General features: G+C 51.4%; 1 protein-coding gene across 8 annotated transcripts in view, besides 1 other annotated feature; it reads left to right on the forward strand.

Annotated features, from left to right (window-relative positions):
• The window catches only part of TMPRSS9 (transmembrane serine protease 9), a 65,997-nt gene that overhangs the window by 19,516 nt on the left and 25,839 nt on the right, over window positions 1–20,642 (forward strand). For 2 of the 8 annotated variants that reach the window (NR_169739.1, NM_001385642.1), the window contains exons 1-4: window positions 16,397–16,664; window positions 16,776–16,886; window positions 19,015–19,082; window positions 19,238–19,413. Coding sequence is in view for 4 of the 8 variants with exons in the window: in NM_001395513.1 (NP_001382442.1) it covers window positions 10,006–10,147; window positions 16,759–16,886; window positions 19,015–19,082; window positions 19,238–19,413 (514 nt within the window). In the remaining 4 variants the exon portion in view is untranslated. Of the gene's footprint in view, window positions 1–5,475; window positions 5,710–9,980; window positions 10,148–16,396; window positions 16,665–16,758; window positions 16,887–19,014; window positions 19,083–19,237; window positions 19,414–20,642 lie in introns of those variants that run through there. The other 6 variants (NR_169740.1, XM_047438777.1, XM_011527978.3 and 3 more) reach the window with 5 other exon arrangements.
• Window positions 14,594–14,683: an enhancer, noted in NCBI's record as "active region_13684". NCBI's record gives its function as "activates an Ori minimal core promoter by ATAC-STARR-seq in GM12878 lymphoblastoid cells {active_cell/tissue: GM12878}" and the evidence as "EXISTENCE:reporter gene assay evidence [ECO:0000049][PMID:35858748]".

Consider the following 20,642-nt stretch of genomic DNA (forward strand, 5'->3'; position numbering starts at 1 on the left):
TTCTTTCTTTTCTCTTGCCCATCTCAAGTGCAGTGGCACAATCACACCTCACTGTAGTCTCGACCTCCTTGGCTCACTGATCCTCAGCCTCAAGAGTAGCTGGGACTACAGGTGCATGCTACCATGCCCAGCTACTTTTTCTATTTTTTATAGAGATGGGGTCTTATTATGTTGCCCAAGCTGGTCTCGACCTCCCATAGTGCTCAGCCTCCCATAGTGCCTCAGCCTCCCATGGTGCTGGGATTACAGGCATGAGCCACTGCACCTGGCTGGTTGTAATTAACTTTAGTTTTAATAGCCACATGGGGCCAGTGGCTGCCATTTTGGACCTTGCTGGTGTTGTATGACTGTTTATGCTCTCAGCTCCCACTTAGTGGGAGAATCATGCAGAGAGTCATGAGACTGAGGCAAGAGGATCATTTGAGCCCAAGAAATCGAGGCTGCAATGAGCTACAATTGTGCCACTGCACCCTAGCCTGGGTCACAGAGTGAAACCCTGTCTTAAAAAAAAACAACAAAAAAACCCCACAAAAAACCAGGTACAGTGGCTCATGCCTGTAATCCCAGGACTTTGGGAGGCCAAGGTGGGTGGATCGTTTGAGGTCTGGAGTTCAAGACCAGCCTGGCCAACATGGCAAAACCCCGTCTCTACTAAAAATAAAAAAAAAAAATTAGCCAGGCATGGTGGCATGCACCTGTAATCCCAGCTACTGGGGAAGCTGAGGCAGTAGAATCACTTGAACCTGAGAGGCAGAGGTTGCAGTGAGCCAAAGTTGTGCCACTGCACTCCAGCCTGGGCAACAGAGCAAGACTCCACCAAAAAAAAAAAAAAAGACAGTGGATTCTTCCCCAGTCAAGCCTCAGATGAGAATGCAGCCCAGCTAACACCTGGATTGCAGCCTCATGAGATGCTGAGCAGAAGGCCCAGCTAAACCCTGTCAGAATCCTGACCCCAGGAAGTGAGGAGGTAACAAGTGCATGTTGTTTGAAGCTGCTAAGTTTGTGCTGATTTGTTACACAGCAATAGCTGACTAATACAGTTTCTCTACAATAGCCTTGACTTCCTTACTTCTGCCACAGGGATTCTAGATACTTTATCCCTGCCATGTAGGATCCGTTCCTTCCACTGGAGGCTTACTCAATTCCTATTTATCCTTCCGAACTTGAATAACTCATCACTCTCTCAGAAAACCCTCCCCTGACGGCGTGTCTAAATCAAAGACCCCTGTACACAGATTCAAAGTTTCTGGTTGTGCTTCTAGTTTTGAGCCATTCTTGTAGCATCATGTTAATGGATCTGGGCCTCTTCCACTTGGATTGAAGCTCTCTGAGCTCAGAGAATCGTATCTGTCTCATTCAGGGTTCGACGCAGCCAGGCCTGGCCCATCGTAAAGGTTGGCTGGATGGAGAGAGTGAAATGAATGGCGCTTCTATGTTTGATGCTAAATAGCTGTGGAGTTCTTTCTGTGAACCAATAATGGTGATGACAAGACCATTTAGAGAACACAGGAATCCTTAGAAAACCCGCGGGGCAGGGTCAGCAGAGGCAGCTGGGGTTGAATGAACACTGTGTGTGTGTGTGCGTGTGTGTGTGTGTGTTGGGGAGTGAGCTCATACTCTAAATGTGCCTTTCCAGCTCTAATCACAGAAGTGAATCTCGGTGTCTTTTGTTTCTAAACCATCCATCAAGTGATTCTTGGAGATTCTCTGGCTCGTCTGAAGGCAGTTCAACTCAAGCGTAAGAGTAAATGGGAAAGTGTGGTGCAGCTTCACTCCCCGCTGCCCCTGCCTCCCCACCGCCCCTGCCTCGCTCCACGCTGCCCCTGCCTTGCTCCATGCCGCCCCTGCCTCACTCCCCGCCACCCTGGTACATCTCTCCTTTCTCATTGGCTCTGGATGGTAGCGGCCAGGCATGGAGTGGCTGTTCCCAGAGGAACACGTTCCCCTGAGGAGGGAACATTCTGGCTGGGCCCCAGCATAGGGTTGCCAGACTCAACAATAAAACATTTAGCACCCTCGGAGACATTAGAATTTCAGATATGTATTCATTCATTCATTCATTCATTCATTCATTTATTTTGAGACGGAGTCTCGCTCTGTCGCCCAGGCTTGAGTGCAGTGGCGCAATCTCAGCTCACTGCAACCTCCACCTCCTGGGTTCAAGAGATTGACCTATCTTAGGCTCCCAAATAGCTGGGATTACAGGCGTGTGCCATCACGCCCAGCTAATTTTGTATTTTTAGTAGAGACGGGGTTTCACTATGTTGTCAGGCTGGTCTCGAACTCCTGACCTCAGGTGATCCACTTGCCTCAGCCTCCCAGACTGTTGGGATAACAGGCATGAGCCACAGCACCCAGCCAGAATTTCAGATTAACAACCAAAACGTTTCTTTTTTTTAAACAGGGTCTCACTCTGTGTTGCCCAGGCTGGAGTGCTCACTGCAACCTCTGCCTCTGAGGTTCAAGTGATTTTCCTGCCTCATCCTCCCAAGAAACCATGTGCCACCATGCCCGGCTAATTTTTTTATTTTGGTAGAGATGGGGTTTCGCCATGTTGGCCAGGCTGTTCTCAAACTCCTGACATCAGGCGATCCTCCCACCTTGGCCTCCCAAAGTGCTGGGATTACAGGCGTGAGCCACCGCGCCCGGTCAAAACATTTTTTTAGTAGGAGTCGGAGAATGTCCTACATTTTGCACAAGAGAGACATACTTATACTAAAATACAGATTAGAGACAGAATTCTTCAGAGAAACAGGACCAATTGAGTGGATACACAGACATATACGCACAGATGCACACACAGATGCACATGCACACACACACAGACACATGCACACACAAATGCACACGTACACACAGACCACACATGCACACATACACACATGCACACGTGCACACATACACACATGCACACATGCACACACAAAAGCACACATGCACACAGATACATACGCACAAACGCACACATCCACACATACACAGATGCACACACGCACACACAGATGCACACCCGCACACAGACTCACACATGTACACACACACAGATTGAGATTTATTTTAGGGATTTGGCTCATACCATTGAGGGGCTGCAGGTCTGGAATCTGCAGGGCAGGCCAGAGACCTAGGGAAGAGCTGATGCTGCAGTCTCAAGCCCAAAGGCTATCTGGAGGCAGATTTCCTTCCTCTTGGGGAACCTCAGTCTTTTAAGGCCTTCGACTGATTGGGTGAGGCCCACCACATTATGGAGGGTCACCTGCTTTATTTAATATCTACCGATTTAAATGTTAATTGGGCTTGGCGCAGTGGCTCACGCCTGTAATCTCAGCACTTTGGGAGGCCGAGGCAGGTGGATCACCTGAGATCAGGAGTTCCACACCAGCCTGGCCAACATAGCAAGATCCCGTCTCTACTAAAAATACAAAAATTAGCCAGGCATGGTGGCAGGCACCTGTAATCCCAGCTACTTGGGAAGCTGAGGCACAAGAATTGCTTGAACCTGGGAGGCAGAGTTTGCAGTGAGCCAAGATTGCACCACTGCACTCCAGCCTGGGTGACACAGCTAGATTCCGTCAAAAAAAAAAAAGGAGAAGTTAATTGGGCTGGGTGGGTGCAGTGGTTCTCAGCACTTTGAGAGGCTGAGGCAGGAAGATGGCTTGAAGCCAGTAGTTCCAGACCAGCCTGGGCAACATAGCAAGACCCCGTCTCTAAAAAAAAAAATTACGATTTTTAAAATTTTCTTAGAGGCAGGGTCTCCCTACATGATCCAGGCTGGTCTTGAGCTCTGGGCTCCAGTGATCCTCCTATCTCGGCCTCCCAAGGTGCTGGGATTACAGGTGTGAGCCACTGCACCCTGACTCTACAAAGAAATTTTTTAACTTAGCTGGCATAGTGGTACACATCCATATTCCAGCTACTCTGGAGGCTGAGGTGGGAGGATCGCTTGAGCCCAGGAGGTCGAGGCTGCAGTGAGCTATGATCACACCACTGCACTCCAGCCTGGGGGACAGAGTGAGACCCCCCCATCTCAAAACAATAAAAATAAATAAATAGATGTTAATTGTATCTAAAAATTACCTTCACAGAAACAGCTAGAATAATGTTTGACCAAAGAACCAAAGCCCGGCCAAGGTATTGCATAGACTGAACCATCCCAGGGACACACTTAGGCTACAAAAGGATGTTTGATTGTCTGAAACTCAAGCTCCATGCGGTGTTCTGTATCTTATCTGCCCACCGAGGCCTGGTTTTCATCCCCACGGGTGTCCAGAGCAACTCCACTCCCTCCAGAGAAGCCCTCGGCCACGTGGGCACGTCCAGGGGACCCCGCCCGGGGAAACAGAATGGCATTGTTCCCCCAGCTTCCTTTTCTGTGGGTTTCTAATGGGGAAAAGTGTGTTGGAGGCCAGGCATGAATCATTCTCCGCCCACGCAGCAGACACAGCATCCCAGGGGAGCTGAGGCGGAGGGGAGGCAATGAGATCCACCTTTGCAGACAATGTGGAGGTGATCCCCCACCCTCTGCAGAGAAAGGCGTCCCTGCAGACTGAGAACATGCAGAGTTTGAGGTTAAGGTCTCTTGGGGTCTCACGAGAGTAAAAGAATGTAAGCTAGAGAACCAGGTGTGGTGGCTCCCGCCTGTAATCCCAGCACTTTGGGAGGCCGAGGCGAGCAGATCACCCGGGGTCAGGAATTCGAGACCAGCCAACATGGCGAAACCCCATCTCTACTGAAAGTACAAAGATTAGCTGGGTGTGGTCAGGCGCGGTGGCTCACGCCTGTAATCCCAGCACTTTGGGAGGCCAAGGCGGGAGGATCACGAGGTCAGGAGATCGAGACCATCCTGGCTAACGTGGTGAAACCCCGTCTCTACTAAAAATACAAAAAATTAGCCAGGCGTGGTGGCGGGCGCCTGTAGTCCAAGCTACTCAGGAGGCGGAGTCAGGAGAATGGTGTGAACCTGGGAAATGGAGCTTGCAGTGAGCCAAGATCGCACCACCGCACTCCAGCCTGGGCGACAGAGTAAGGCTCCGTCAAAAAAAAAAAAAAAAAAAATTAGCTGGGTGTGGTGGCATGCACCTGTAATCCCAGCTACTCGGGAAGCTGAGGCAGGAGAATTGCTTGAACCCGGGAGGCAGAAGTTGCAGTGAGCTGAGATCATGCCACTGCACTCCAGCCTGGGGGACAGAGCCAAACTCCATCTCAAAAAAAAAAAAAAAGAGAGAAAAGCCCAGGCGCGGTGGCCTACACCTGTAATCCTATAATCCCAGCACTTTGGGAGGCCGAGGCGGGCGGATTACCTGAGGCCACCGTGGCTACCTTGGCCCATCCATTGGTGAGAAGGGGTCACAGCCGGAGCTCGCAGGGGGCGGAGCTCGCGGAGGGCGGGGCTCGCGGGGGGCGGGGCTCGCGGGGGCGGGGCTCGAGGGGGCGGGGCTCGAGGGGGCGGGGCTCGCACAGGGCTTGAATCCCAGGAGGAGGGATCCCAGTGCTCCCGGTGGAGTCTGCCTGCCCCAGGTGTCCTGTTACATCCCTCAGGGGCCGACAGCTGCCCAGTTCTGCTTAGGGATCCATGCGACACAGGCAGTTTCTCGCGGAAAATGGGTGGATCCCCTGCTCCAACGAGACTGAAAGCGGCAGGAGCATGGATGAACGTTGCGGTGTTGCCGTTGCACATGGCTGCCACCTGGCCATGTTCTGGGACTCATGCTTGTAAATCCTTTTACATTTCAAAGCCTTAGTGATGACTCATCAGTGGGAGAACACCCGGAACAGGGACTGGCAAATGATTATAAACGGTCAGAGAGGTGGCCGGGTACAGCGGCTCACATCTGGAGGCCGAGGCAGGAGGATCACTTGAGGCCAGGAGTTCAAGGCCAGACTGGACAACATAGTGAGACCCCAATCTCTACAGAGTATAAAAAAATTAACCGGGTGTGGTGGCATGCCTGTAGTCCTATCTACTCTGGAATCTAAGGCAGGAGGATCGTTTGAGCCTGCGAGGTAGAGGCTGCAGTGAGCTATGATAGCACCACTGCATTCCAGCCTGGGTGACAGAGCAGGACCTTGTCTCTAAAAAATAAAAAAAGATTACGTATCTATTCCAGGGGTCAGGAAACAACATCCTGTGGGCCAGAGCCAGATCTGGTCTGCAGAATTATTTTTTCATTTTATTATTATTACTAGAGACTGGGTGTTGCTCTGTCACCCAGGCTGGAGTGCAGTGGTGTGATCACAGGTCCTTGCAGCCTCAACCTCCTGGTCTCAAGCAGTCCTCCCACCTCAGCCTTCTGAGTAGCTGGGATCACAGATACGTGCCCCACCATGCCCAGCTAATTTAATTTTTATTTTCTGTCGACATGGGGTCTTGCTATGTTGCCCAGGCTGGTCTCAAACTCCTGGACTCAAGCGATTGTCCTGCCGCGGCCTCTTAAGGAGATGGGATTGGCCGGGCACGGTGGCTCACGCCTGTAATCCCAGCATTTTGGGAGGCTGAGGTGGGCAGATCACGAGATCAGGAGATTGAGACCATCCTGGCTAACATGGTGAAACCCCGTCTCTACTAAAAATACAAAAAATTAGCTGGGCGTGGTGGCGGGCGCCTGTAGTCCCAGCTACTTGGGAGGCTGAGGCAGGAGAATGGCGTGAACCTGGGAGGCGGAGCTTGCAGTGAGCCGAGATCGCGCCACTGGACTCCAGCCTGGGTGACAGAGCAAGACTCCGTCTCAAAAAAAAAAAAACCAAAAAAACAAAGATAGGATTACAGGCGTGAGCCACTGCACCCAGCCAGGATTTGAATTTTAGTGTCCATAAAGTGTGACGAGAACATAGTTGTGTCTAATTCTTTACACGTGGTCGGCTGCTTTAGCGTGACAATGGGAGAGTGAAGGGACACAGTCCTGACTGCCTTGTGAGCATGAAAATATTTACTGCTGCCAGCACAGTGGCTCACACCTGTCATCCCAGCACTTTGGGAGGCCAAGGCAGGTGGGTCACTTGAGGCCAGGAGTTTGAGAACAGCCTGGCCAATATGGTGAAACCCCATCTCTACTAGAAATACAAAAATTAGCCAGGTGTGATGGCACACGCCTGTGGTCCCAGCTACTTGGGAGACTGAGGCATGAGAATCACTTGAACCTGAGAGGCGGAGCTTGTAGTGAGATCACGCCACTGCACAGTGCACCTGTGGTCCCAGCACTTTGGGAGGCTGAGGAGGGAAGGTTGCCTGAGGCCAGGAGTTCAAAACCAGCCTGGGCAATGTAGCAAGATCCCCTCTCCACAAAAAACAGAAAAATGAGGCCGGGTGCAGTGGCTCACGCCTGTAATCCCAGCACTTTGGGAGGCCAAGGCGGGTGGATCACCTGAGGTCAGGAGTTCAAAACCAGCCTGGGCAACATAACAAGATTCCCCTCTCTACAAAAAAATAGAAAAGTGAGGCTGGGTGAGGTGGCTCATGCCTGTAATCCCAGCACTTTGGGAGGCCGAGGTGGGTGGATCAACTGAGGTCAGGAGTTCGAGACCAGCCTGGCCAACATGGCAAAACCCCCTCTCTACTAAAAATATAAAAATTAGCCAGGTGTGGTGCTGGGCGCCTGTAATCCCAGCTATTGGGGAGGCTGAGGAAGGAGAATCGCTTGAACCTGGGAGGCAGAGGTTGCAGTGAGCAGAGACTGTGCCACTGCACTCCAGCCAGGTCAACAAGAGTAAGACTCCATCTCAATAGAAAAGAAAGGAAAGGAAAGGAAAGGAAGGGAAGGGAAAGGAAGGGAAGGGAAAGGAAGGGAGGAAGGGAGAAAGGGAAGGGAAGGGAGAAAGGAAAATGAGCATGGCGTGGTGACGTACACCTGTGGTCCCAGCTATGGGAGGCTGAGGTGGGAGGATCACTTAAGCCCGGAAATTTGAAGTTGCAGTGAGCCGAGATCGCACCACAGCACTCCAGTATGGGCAACAGAGAGACTCTCTCTCTCTTTAAAAAAGAAAAAATAAAAATCAGGGGTGGGGTGTGAAGGTCAGGAGCACTTTGGGTTTTAGGCTGCTGGAGGGATTTTAGTGTGTGTGTCGCAGGGATGATGTAATCTGATGGACACTTCAAAGGCACCCTTAACGGCTGTGACCAGCTCACAGAGGGGCAGGGGAGGGAGGAAAGAGGCCAGTCCCTCCAGACGGGATGCTGGTGGGCTGTCCAGAGCCGTAGCTGCACAGATGGTGAGGAATGACTGGATTAGGAATCTCTTTTGAACACTAGCCAACAGGAGTTGTTGATGAGTGTGACAGAAAAAGAGTCTGTGGTCACAAATTCTTTGATGCACCTCCCTTCGAAAGCTGGCACTCAGGCTGGGCGCGGTGGCTCACGCCGGTAATCCCAGCACTTTGGGAGGCCCAGGTGGGAGGATCGCGTGAGGTCAGGAGTTTGAGACCAGCTTGGGCAGCATAGGAAGACTCCCTCTCTACAAAAAACTTAATTAGCTGGGCATAGTGGCACACACGTGGCCCTAGCTACTAGGAGGCGGAGGTGGGAGGATCGCTTGAGCCCAGGAGGTGGAGGCTGCAGTGAGCTGTGATCACACCATTGCACTCCAGCCTGGGCAACAGAGAAAGACCCTGTCTCAAAAACAAACAAAAAAGGAGGCGGGAGGGTGAGAAAGAGAGACTGGAAGAGGCTGCACTGTGGCTGTGAAGGGAGAAGAAGGGGCCCTGAGGCTTAAGACGCTGGTAAAGATGGGAAACGTATTCTCCCCTGGAGCCCCCAGAAGGGCCCAGGCCTGCCCACAGCTCGATGGTGAGCCCTGCAAGATGGATCTCAGACTTCTGACTTTCAGAACTGTGAGATAATCAATCAGTATTCCATTTTTAAATTCTTTGAGACAGGGTCTGGCTCTGTCACCCAGGCTGGAGTACAGTGGCACAATCACAGCTCACTGCAGCTTCCACCTCCTGGGCTCAAGTGATCCTCCTGCCTCAGCCTCCTGAGTGGCTAGGATTACAGGCATGAGCCACCACATCTGGCTAATTTTTGTTCATTTTTTGTGGAGATGGGGGTCTCACTATATTGCCCAGGCTGGTCTCAAACTCCTGGGCTCGAGCAATCCTCTCACCTCAGCCTCCCACAATGCTGGGATTACAGGTGTGAGCCACCACGCCTGGCCGAAAACTCGGTGTCCCTCTAAGCCCCCAAGCGTGGGGTCCTTTGTTACAGCAGCTGTGGGAACTTCAGACTTACTCTTTCTAGCAATGGACCGCAGCGACCCACGGGAGTCCTCATCCTCACACAGCCGCCCAGCCAGCAGTCACGTTCCACCTTTTTTTTTTTTTTTTGAGATGGCGTCTTGCTCTGTCGCCAGGCTGGAGTGCAGTGGCGTGATCTCAGCTCCCTGCAACCTCCGCCTCCCGGGTTCAAGCGATTCTCCTGCCTCAGCCTCCCGAGTAGCTGGGATTACAGGCGCCCACCACCACGCCTGACTAATTTTTTGTATTTTTAGTAGAGATGGGGTTTCACCATGTTGGCCAGGCTGGTCTCAAACTCTTGACCTCAAGTGATTCACCCACCTTGGCCTCCCAAAGTGCTGGGATTACAGGCATAAGCCACCGCATCTGGTCTTTTTTTTTTTTTTTTTTGGAGTCTCGCTCTGTCACCCGGGCTGGAGTGCAGTAGCGTGATCTCGGTTCACTGCAGCCTCCGCCTCCCGGGTTCAAGCGATTCTCCTGCCTCAGCCTCCTGGGTAGCTGGATTACAGGTGTGCACCAACATGCCTGGCTAATTTTGGATTTTTAGTAGAGATGGGGTTTCTCCATGTTGGCCGGGCTGATCTGGAATTCCCGACCTCAAATCGTCCTCCTGCCTCAGCCTCCCAAAGTGCTGGGATGACAGGCGTGAGCCACCGCGCCCCGCCGTTTTTAAGGGTATAGTTGCAACCCTTGCTTATGGGAAGAGAAGCACCTTCAGCCTCTGACCCCGTGTTTCTGTCTTGCTGTGTGGCATCCAGCTCGCTGTCTGCGTGTCTCTGAGCCATGGAGCCCACTGTGGCTGACGTACACCTCGTGCCCAGGACAACCAAGGAAGTCCCCGCTCTGGATGCCGCGTGCTGTCGAGCGGCCAGCATTGGCGTGGTGGCCACCAGCCTTGTCGTCCTCACCCTGGGAGTCCTTTTGGGTAAGTGGCTATGGGATTGGCTGGGTTCGCAATACAAGGGACATGTGCAAAGTCACCGGGAAGTGACTTGATGGTGTCTCCTTGGCCATCTGGAATCAAAGGGCAGTGTCTAGGCGTGGAGATGAAGGCTGCCCTAGGCCAGGCGGGTGGGCGGGGAGTGGAGCAGATGAGTTCCTACGTGTGTCAGTTTTCCCGACTAAAGAAGCTCCCGAAGGAAGTTTTCACAGCTGGGGTGACAGAGAAACAGAGACAGGGAAATGACCTTGTTTTAAATTTTGGCAAATCAGCAAAATACCCAAAGTAGTTTTTTTTTTTGTTTTTTTTTTTTTTTGAGACGGAGTCTCTCTCTGTCGCCCAGGCTGGAGTGCAGTGGTGTGATATCTCGGCTCACTGCAAGCTCCACCTCCCGGGTTCACACCGTTCTCCTGTGTCAGCCTCCCCGAGTAGCTGGGACTACAGGCGCCCGCCACCACCCCCGGCTAATTTTTTGTATTTTTAGTAGAGACGGGGTTTCACCGTGTTAGCCAGGATGGTCTCGATCTCCTGACCTCATGATCCGCCCGCCTCAGCCTCCCAAAGTGCTGGGATTACAGGCATGAGCCACCGCGCCCGGCCCCAAAAGTATTTTTATAAAACCGAGCAACTGGGTTGGGCGTGGTGGCTCCCGCCTGTAATCCCAGCACTTTGGGAGGCTGAGGCGGGAGGACCATCGGAGCCCAGGAGTTTGAGAACAGCCTAGGCAACATGATAAAGCCCTGCCTCTACAGAAAATACAAAAAATTACCCAGGCGTGGTGGCACCTGCAGTCCCAGCTACTCAGGAGGCTGAGGCAGGAGAATCGCTTGAACCTGGGAGGCAGAGGTTGCAGTGAGCTGAGATCGCACCACTGCACTCCAGCCTGGGTGACAGAGTGAGACTCTATCTCAAAAAATAAAAACATAATAATAAATTTAAAATAAGGCCGGGTGCAGTGGCTCATACCTGTAATCTCAACTTTTTGGGAGGCTGAAGTGAGCAGATCATGAGGTCAGGAGTTCGAGACCACCCTGACCAACATGGTGAAACCCCATCTCTACTAAAAATACAAGAAAGAAAGAAAGAAAGAAAGGGAGGGAGGGAGGGAGGGAGGCAGGCAGGCAGGTAGGCAGGAAGGAAGGAAGATAGCTGAGCATGGTGGTGCACGCCTGTTATCCCAGCTACTTGGGAGGCTGAGGCAGGAGAATTGCTTGAGCCCAGGAGGAGGCAGAGATTGCAGTGAGCCGAGATCATGCCCTTGCAGTCCAGCCTGGGCAACAGAGCAATTCCATCTCAAAAAAAAAAAAAAAAAAAAAAGTTAATTTTAACATTTAAATGATGATAATAAACAGCAATTTGGGGAGAAATGCTCTCGTGTGGCAAAATAGTAAGTTCGCGATCCTATGAGAATCCTCCTAGGTTTTTTTTTTTCTTTTTTCTTTTTTTTAAAAAATATTTGTGGAACTTCTGGAAACTCCCAGAGCCAGACATGTTTGACTGAGGCCCTCTAGTGGCTGTAGGTACCAAGTACAATACAATTTGGGTTCCTCGTGTGAGTGTATTTGTGTGTTCATGAGTGTGTGCATGGTGCACACGTGTTCATTTGCATGCGTTTGTGCATGCATGTGTGTGTCTGCGTGTGTATCTATGTGTGCATGCGTGTGTGTGTGTGTGTGTCCATCACCTAGTGAGAGGCAGGGGCGGGGCAGAGTTTCTCATCTGCATTGTAACAAATACATTTTGGGAAAAACAGATAAATATAATTCCCATCAGGACCCCCCTGAAAGGAAAGGAAGTCTTTTTTTTTTTTTTTGAGATGGAGTCTCACTCTGTCTCCCAGGCGCGACAGAGTGCAGTGGCACAATCTCAGCTCATCACAACCTCCACCACCCAGGTTCAAGCGATTCTCCTGCCTCAGCCTCCTGGGTAGCTGAGATTACAGGTGTGTGCCACTACGCCGAGCTAATTTTTGTATTTTTAGTAGAGATAGGGTTTTGCCATATTGGCCAGGATGGTCTCAAACTGCTGACCTCAAGTGATCCACCTGCCTTGGCCTCCGAAAGTGCTGGGATTACAGACATGAGCCACCACGCCCCATCAGGAAGTCTTTCAAGAAGCACTTAAGGCCAAGTGTGGTGGCTCCTGCCTGTAATCCCAGCACTCTGGGAGGCTGAGGCAGGAGGATTGCTTGAGCTCAGGAGTTCGAGACCAACCTAGGCAACATAGCAAGACCCCATCTCTACAAAAAATTAAATAATGAAGACAAGAAACATTTAAAATTAAAATTTTATAATGTTTTCAGTGAAAATGAGTGGTTGTGCGTGCCAGTAGTCCCTGCTACTCGGGAGACTGAGGTGGGAGGATTGCTTGAGCCCAGGAGTTGGAGCCTGCAGTGAGCTATGATCACACCACTGCACTCCAGCTTGGGAGACAGAGTGACACCCTGATAAAAAATAAAAAAGAAAAAGAAAAAAGGACATGATGCCAGGCGTAGTGGCTCACGCCAGTAATCCCAGCTCTCTGGGACGCTGAAACGGGAGGATTGCTTGAGCCCAGGAGTTCCAGTTCAGCCTGGTAACATGGTGAAACCCTGTCTCTACAAAAAATGCAGAAAATTAGCCAGGGCCGGGCGAAGCCAGCTGGGCTCCTGAGTCGAGTGGGGACTTGAAGAATTGTTATGTCTAGCTGGAGGATTGTATATGCACCAGTGAACACTCTGTGTCTAGCTAATCTGGTGGGGACTTGGATAACTTTTATGTCTAACTAGAGGATTGTAAATGCACCAATAAGCACTCTGTGTCTAGCTCAAGGTTTATAAACACACCAATCAGTGCTCTGTGTCTAGCTAATCTAGTGGGGACTTGGAGAAATTTTAAGTCTAGCTAAAGGTTTGTAAATGCACCAATGAGCACCCTGTGTCTAGCTCAAGGTTTGCAAATGCACCAATCGCACCAATCAGTGTTCTGTGTCTAGCTAATCTAGTGGGGACTTGGAGAACTTTTGTGTCTAGCTAAAGATTTGTAAATGCACCAATCAGCACCCTGCGTCTAGCTCAGGGATTGTAAACACACCAATCAGCACCCTGTCAAAACGGACCAGTCAGCTCTCTGTAAAATGGACCAATCAGCGCTCTGTAAAATGGGCCAATCAGGAGGATGTGGGTGGGGCCAGATAAGGGAATAAAAGCGGACTGCTGGAGCCAGCAGCGGCAACCGGCTTGGGGACCTTTTCACAGTGTAGAGGATTTGTTTTTTAATTCTCTGCGAGAAATCTTGCTGCTGCTCACTCGTTGGGTGTGAGATGCTTTTATGAGCTGTAACACTCACTGTGAAGGTCTGCAGTTTCACTCCTGAGGCCAGCAAAACCACAAACCCACCAGGAGGAATGAACAACTCCAGACACGCTGCCTTAAGAGCTGCAACACTCCCTGGGAAGGTCTACAGCGTCACTCCTGAAGCAAGCAAGACCACGAACCCACCAGAAGGAAGAAATTCCGAACACATCCGAACATCAGCAAGAACAAACTCCGGACACACCATCTTTAAGAAATGTAACACTCAGCGTGAGGATCCGCAGCTTCATTCTTGAAGTCAGTGAGACCAAGAACCCACGAATTTCGGACACAGTAACATGGGGAAACCCTGTCTCTACAAAAGAATGCAAACAATTAGCCAGGGCCAGGCATAGTAGCTCACCCCGGTAATCCCAGCACTTTGGGAGGCTGAGGCAGGTAGATCATGAGGTCAGGAGTTTGAGACCAGCCTGGCCAACATGGGTGAAACCCTGTCTTTACTAAAATACAAAAATTAGCTGGGCAGACTGGTACGCGCCTGTAATCCCAGCTACTCAGGAGGCTGAGGTTGGAGAATTGCTTGAACCCGGGAAGTGGAGGTTGCAGTGAGCCGAGATCATGCCACTGCACTCCAACCTGGGCAACAAAGGGAGACCATGTCTCCAAAAAAAAAAAAAAAAAAAAAAAGCTGGGCGCGGTGGCTCCCACCTGTAATCCCAGCACTCTGGGAGGCCGGGTTGGGCGGATCATGAGGTCAGGAGATTGAAACCATCCTGGCCAACATGATGAAACCCCGTCTCTACTAAAATACAAAAAACATTAGTTGGTCATGGTGGCATGTGCCTGTAGTCCTAGCTACTCGGGAAGCTAAGGCAAGGGAATCGCTTGGACCCAGGAGGCAGAGGTTGCACTGAGCCAAGATCGTGCCACTGCATCCCAGCCTGGCAACAGAGTGTGAGACTGTGTCAAGAAAAGAGAAGGAAAGAGAAAGCTAGCCAGCCAGGCGTGATAGTGGGCGCCTGTGGTCTCTGTGGTCTAGCTACTTGGGAGGCTAAGGCAGGAGGATCACCTGAGCCCATGAGGTCGAGGCTGCAGTGAGCAGTGATTGTGCCACTGCACTGAAGCCCGAACAATAGAGACCTTGTCTCAAAAAAATAAAACATTTAAAAAAATAAAAATGAGAATTCAGCCCTTCGCAAACAGCTCACCATTTTAGTTGGAGATGAGAGGCTGAGTGGAGAGCGGGAGGCGTTCTGAACTATTTCTGCAACTTCCTGAATCTGCAGTTGTTTAGAGTAGAAACAGAGTGAGGTTGGGACACAGAGGCGGGGCAATTCAGTCCGCCCACCAGGGTGCTCGTGTTTCTTTAGTTTCTTGAACGAGAAAACATACCGTTTTTAGAATTGGTTCAGAATATTCTATCTACTGAATATATGGCTACGTAAATACCCATCTAGCATATCTATCCATTTAGGATAAACGGAATTGGGACCCAGCTTTCACGGTTTACGCGGTTGCTATTTGCATGGTTTAAATGTTGTAATTACGGCCATTTTTTTTGCGCTGGTGTGCACTTCTGGTAGTTTTAACGTATTTTTGACCAAAACTCGTGCTCTCATGGTTTCTGTGGTTGCTCTCGTAGTTTTTATTTAGATTTTTTTCTGCTGCTGCTTGCATCAGCATAGGAATTTTTTATGACTATTATTTTTGCTGTACTTTGTACTTTGGACACAACACAGCCAACAGCTAAAAACCAGTGCTTTCTGCCTGGCGTGGTGGCTCACGCCTGTCATCCCGGCACTTTGGCAGGCTGAGGCGGGCAGATCACCTGAGGTCAGGAGTTCCCGACCAGCCTGGCCAATGTGGCGAAACCCCATCTCTGCTAAAAATACAAAAATTAACGCTGGGTGCAGTGGCTCACGCCTGTAATCTCAGCACTTCGGGAGGCCAAGGCGGGTGGATCACCTGAGGTCAGGAGTTCCAGAGCAGCCTGGCCAACATGGTGAAATCCAGTCTGTACTAAAAATACAAAAAAACTAGCCAGGTGTGGTGGTCCACGCCTGTAATCCCAGCTACTCAGCAGGTTGAGGCAGGAGGCTGAGGCAGGAGGATCGCTTGAACCCGGGAGATGGAGGTTGCAGCGAGCTGAGAAAACACCACTGCACTCCAGCCTGGGTGACAGAGTGAGACCCTATCTCAAAACAAACAAGGCCGGGCGCGGTGGCTCATGCCTGTTAATCCCAGTGCTTTGGGAAGCCAAGGCTGGCGGATCATCTGAGGTCGGGAGTTTGAGACCAGCCTGGCCAACATGGAGAAACCCCATCTGTACTAGCTGGGTATGGTGGTGCATGCCTGTAATCTCAGCTACTCCGGAGGCTGAGGCGGCAGGAGAATTGCTTGAACCCGGGAGGCGGAGGTTACAGTGAGGCGAGATCATGCCATTGCACTCCAGTGTGGGCAACAAGAGCAAAACTCTGTCTCAAAACAAACAGGCCGGGTGTGGTGGCTCACGCCTGTAATCTGAGCACTTTGGGAGGCCGAGGAGGGCGGATCACGAGGTCAGGAGATAGAGACCATCCTGGCTAACACAGTGAAATCCCGTCTCTACTAAAAATACAAAAAAATTAGCCACGCGTGGTCGTGGGTGCCTGTAGTCCCAGCTACTCGGGAGGCTGAGGCAGGAGAATGGCATGAACCCGGGAGGCGCAGCTTGCAGTGAGCCGAGATTGCGCCACCGCACTCCAGCCTGGGCGACAGAGCGAGACTCTGTCTCAAACAAACAAACACAAACCAACCAGTGGTTTTTGAAGATGACCTCATGGGACTGTGGCCGGAGAGTCCTGATGGCCTCTGGCTGTGCTCATGCCCCTGCCATAGGAGGCGGGGACTGTCATTTCACCGTCTCCTGATGCCATTCCAGAGGTTACGCCCTGAAGTCAGCTCAGATCCTGGGCCAGGCACTGCATGGGAGACAGGCATGAGCAGGACCTCTTTCTGCCTTCGAGGAAAACACGGGGGCATCTGGGGCTCACTTGGCACTCATCCACCTTGTGCTGTACCTGGGGACCTCCGGGTGGGTGGCTGTCATAGAATTCGGCTCCAAACCAGGATGCTTTTGGGAATTGAGGGAGAGCCCTGTGAGTAGCTATTCAGGGCTATCACGGGGGCGTCGACCACCCCACTGCGTGTCAGGAGTGACCACCAGGGTGTGTGAGTGCAAACAGGGCGGGGCCTGGGTGGCAGCTCAGCGGAGCCCTGAGCCCCCAAAGGTGGGCTCTCTCACGGGCCCTGGTCTCGTCCCCAGCCTTCCTCTCTACACAGGGCTTCCACGTGGACCACACGGCCGAGCTGCGGGGAATCCGGTGGACCAGCAGTTTGCGGCGGGAGACCTCGGACTATCACCGCACGCTGACGCCCACCCTGGAGGCACTGGTGAGGGTGGTCTGTGTTTGGGGGCCAGGGAGGAAGAGCGGGTGGCCGGGGGCTTTGACCTGGAGGTGCTTTCCGTGTGGGAGGGAGGCAGGCCACAGGCAACGAAGCTGAGGTGGAGGCTGTGAGACCGGGAGGCCAGGCCAGGGGGCGGGCAGGACGAGGCCAGGTGGCCAAGGCAGATACCTGCAAGGCAGAGCTGTATCCACTGAGGACACACTCACATGGGACTTTAGGCCACATTTAGAGGTTTTTTTTTTTTTCTTTTTTTTCTTGAGACGGAGTCTCACTCTGTCACCCAGGCTGGGGTGCAGTGGAATGATCTCGGCTCACTGCAAGCTCCGCTGCTCAGGTTCAAGCGATTCTCCTGCCTCAGCCTCCCGAGTAGCTGGGATTACAGGTGCACGCCACCACGTCCAGCTGATTTTTGTATTTTTAGTAGAGACGGGGTTTCACCATGTAGGACAGGATGGTCTTGAACTCCTGACCTCAAATGATCTTCCCTCCACGGCCTCCCAAAGTGCTGGGATTACAGGCGTGAGTCACCGTACCCAACCTGCCACATTTAGAGTTTTACATTTTATTCTAAAGGGGAATCAGAGCCCTCATGCACAGCTGGGGGAAGGTATTTTATTTTATTTTTTTGAGACGGAGTCTTGCTCTGTTGTCCAGGCTGGAGTGCAGTGGCAGGATCATGGCTCACTGCAACCTCTGCCTCCCGGGTTCAAGCGATTCTCCTGTCTCAGCCTCCTGAGTAGCCAGGGTTACAGGCACCCACCACCTAGGATGAACAGGGAAACACAGCGTGGCTATGCACACACTGGAATATGACTCAGCCAGGAAAAGGGGCCAGGCTTGGACACAGGACACAGCGAATTATATTTTAATGAAAAAATAATGTTTTCCATTTTATTCGAAGAGAAACAGACGTGTGACCACATCAGCAATCACGTATTAAAAACAGCACTCCAGGCGGGCACGGTGGGTGGCTCACATCTGTAATCCCAGCACTTTGGGAGGCCGAGGAGAGTGGATACCTGAGGTCAGGAGTTTTGAGACCAGCCTGAGCAACATGACAAAATCCCACCATTAGTAAAAACACAAAAATTAGCGGGGCGTGGTGGTGTGTGCCTGTAGTCTCAGCTACTCGGGAGGCTGAGGTGGGAGGATTGCCTGAGCCCAGGAGGCAGAAGTTGCAGTGAGCCAAGATCGTGCCATTGCACTCCAGCCTGGGTGACCGAGTGAGACTCCATCTTAAAAAACAATTTTTAAAAATAGGCTGGGCGTGGTGGCTCACGCCTGTGACGCCTCCTGGGCTCAAGCAATCCTCCCACCTCAGCCTCCCGAGTAGCTGGGAGTGCAGGCACACACCACCATGCCCAGCTAATTTGGGAGGCTGAGGTGGGCGGATCACGAGGTCAGGAGTTCAAGACCAGCCTGGCCAACATAGTGAAACCCTGTCCCTACTAAAAAATACAAAAAATTAGCCACGCATGGTGGTGTGTGCCTGTAATCCCAGCTACTTGGGAGGCTGAGGCAGGAGAATTGCTTGAACCTGAGAGACGGAAGTTGCAATGAGCCGAGATCGTGCCACTGCACTCCACCCCAGGCGACAGAGCAAGACTCTGTCTCAAAATAATAATAATAATAAAAAATTTAAAAATAAAACATAAGTCTGGGCGTGGTGGCTCACAACTGTAATCCTAGCACTGTGGAAAACCAAGGCAGGTGGATCACAAGGTCAGGAGTTCGAGACCAGCCTGGCCAACATAGTGAAACCCCATTTCTACTAAAAATACAAAAAATTAGTTGGGCATGGTGGCGGGCACCTGTAATCCCAGCTTCTTGGGAGGCTGAGGCAGCAGAATCGCTTGAACCTGGGAGGCGGAGGTTGCAGTGAGTGGAGAATGCACTACTGCACTCCAGCCTGGGTGACAGAGCAAGACTCTGTCTCACAATACATACATACATACATACGTACATATAGATAAAAATTTAAAATAATAAAAGGAAATGCTTTCCCATGGAACCAACCCCTTCTCCAGCTCCCTCCAACACCTGACAGGCCTCTGCAGTGCCAGGGTGCCCATGCTGTGGGTCTCAACATTTGATATTCTTGTTTCTATTGCAGTTTGTAAGTAGTTTTCAGAAGACAGAGTTAGAGGCAAGCTGCGTGGGTTGCTCGGTACTGAATTATAGGTGAGTTGGAGCTTCCATTGGGTGAAGGAAACTTGGTGGACATCTGGGAGTTTCTGGAGGAGTCCAGAAAAGTTTGGAAGATTCTAGAAGATTCCAGAAGATTCCAGCAGGGCGGAGCCCCTCCCTCTCCAAGGGCCTCTCCTCCATACCTGTAGGGATGGGAACTCCAGTGTCCTCGTACATTTCCAGCTGCACTTTCTGCTGCGACCCCTCCAGACGCTGAGCCTGGGCCTGGAGGAGGAGCTATTGCAGCGAGGGATCCGGGCAAGGCTGCGGGAGCACGGCATCTCCCTGGCTGCCTATGGCACAATTGTGTCGGCTGAGCTCACAGGTGAGTGGGCAGCCGAGACCGAAACCCCATCACGAGGAGGCTGGAGTGGGGCAGGAGCTGCAAGATACATTTTGATAACCACCCCTTCCCATAAAAAGAAAACAAACTGGCCGGGTGTGGTGGCTCATGCCTGCAACCCCAGCATTTTGGGAGGCCGAGGCGGGTGGATCACCTGAGGTCAGGAGTTTGAGACCAGCCTGGCCAACACCCCATCTGTACTAAAAATACAAAAATCAGTTGGGCGTGGTGGTGTGCACCTGTAATCCTACCTACACAGGAGGCTGAGGCAGGAGAACTGCTTCAACCTGGGAGGCGGAGGTTGCAGTGAGCCGAGATCGTGCCATTGCACTCCAGCCTGGGCAAAAAGAGTGAAACTTCGTTTCAAAAACAAACAAACAAACAAATGTAAAAACTGACATTGCCTTTGCCTTAATGGTGTGGATAAGGGGTCAGCCATCTTGTTCTGTAAAGAGCCAGAGTGTTGTGTTGTGTTGTGTTGTCTTGTCTTGTCTTCTCTTTTCTTTTCCATTTTTTTTATTTTTGAGACAGGATCTCACTCTGTTGCCCAGTCTGGAGTGCAATAATGAAGTCTTGGCTCACTGCAGCTTCTGCCTCCCAGGTTCAAGCAATTTTCCTGCCTCAGTAGCTCCCGACTCACTCCCGAGTAGCTGGGATTACAGGCACGCACCACCACGCCTGGCTAATTTTTGTATTTTTAGTGAGATGGGGTTTCACCATGTGTACTGGGCTGGTCTTGGACTCCTGACCTCAGGTGATCCTCCTGCCTTGGCCTCCCAAAGTGCTGGGATTATAGGTGTGAGCCACGTGCCCAGTTAATATTTTCATCTTTGTGGTCCGTTGGGTTTCTGTGACAAGCACTCAGCTCTGTTATTTGTAGCACAAAAGTAGCCACAGACAATACATAAATGAATAGGTGTGGCTGTTTACCAATAAAACTTATTAAAAATAACAAGCAGTGGGCTGGATTTGGCCTATGGCCGTAGTTGGCCAACCCCCTACTGTAGAATCAAGGATAAATGCTACACTCTAATAAAATTGTATGGAAGGCCGGGTGTGGTGGCTTATGCCTGTAATTCCAGCAATTTGGGAGGCCAAGGTGGGCTGATCACTTCAGATCAGGAGTTCGAGACCAGCCTGGCCAACATGGCGAAACCCCGTCTCTACTAAAAATACAAAAATGAGCTGGGTGTGGTGGCACGTGCCTGTAA

The sequence above is a fragment of the Homo sapiens genome, chromosome 19, assembly GCF_000001405.40.
Source record: "Homo sapiens chromosome 19, GRCh38.p14 Primary Assembly".
In the NCBI taxonomy this organism is placed as follows: domain Eukaryota; kingdom Metazoa; phylum Chordata; class Mammalia; order Primates; family Hominidae; genus Homo; species Homo sapiens.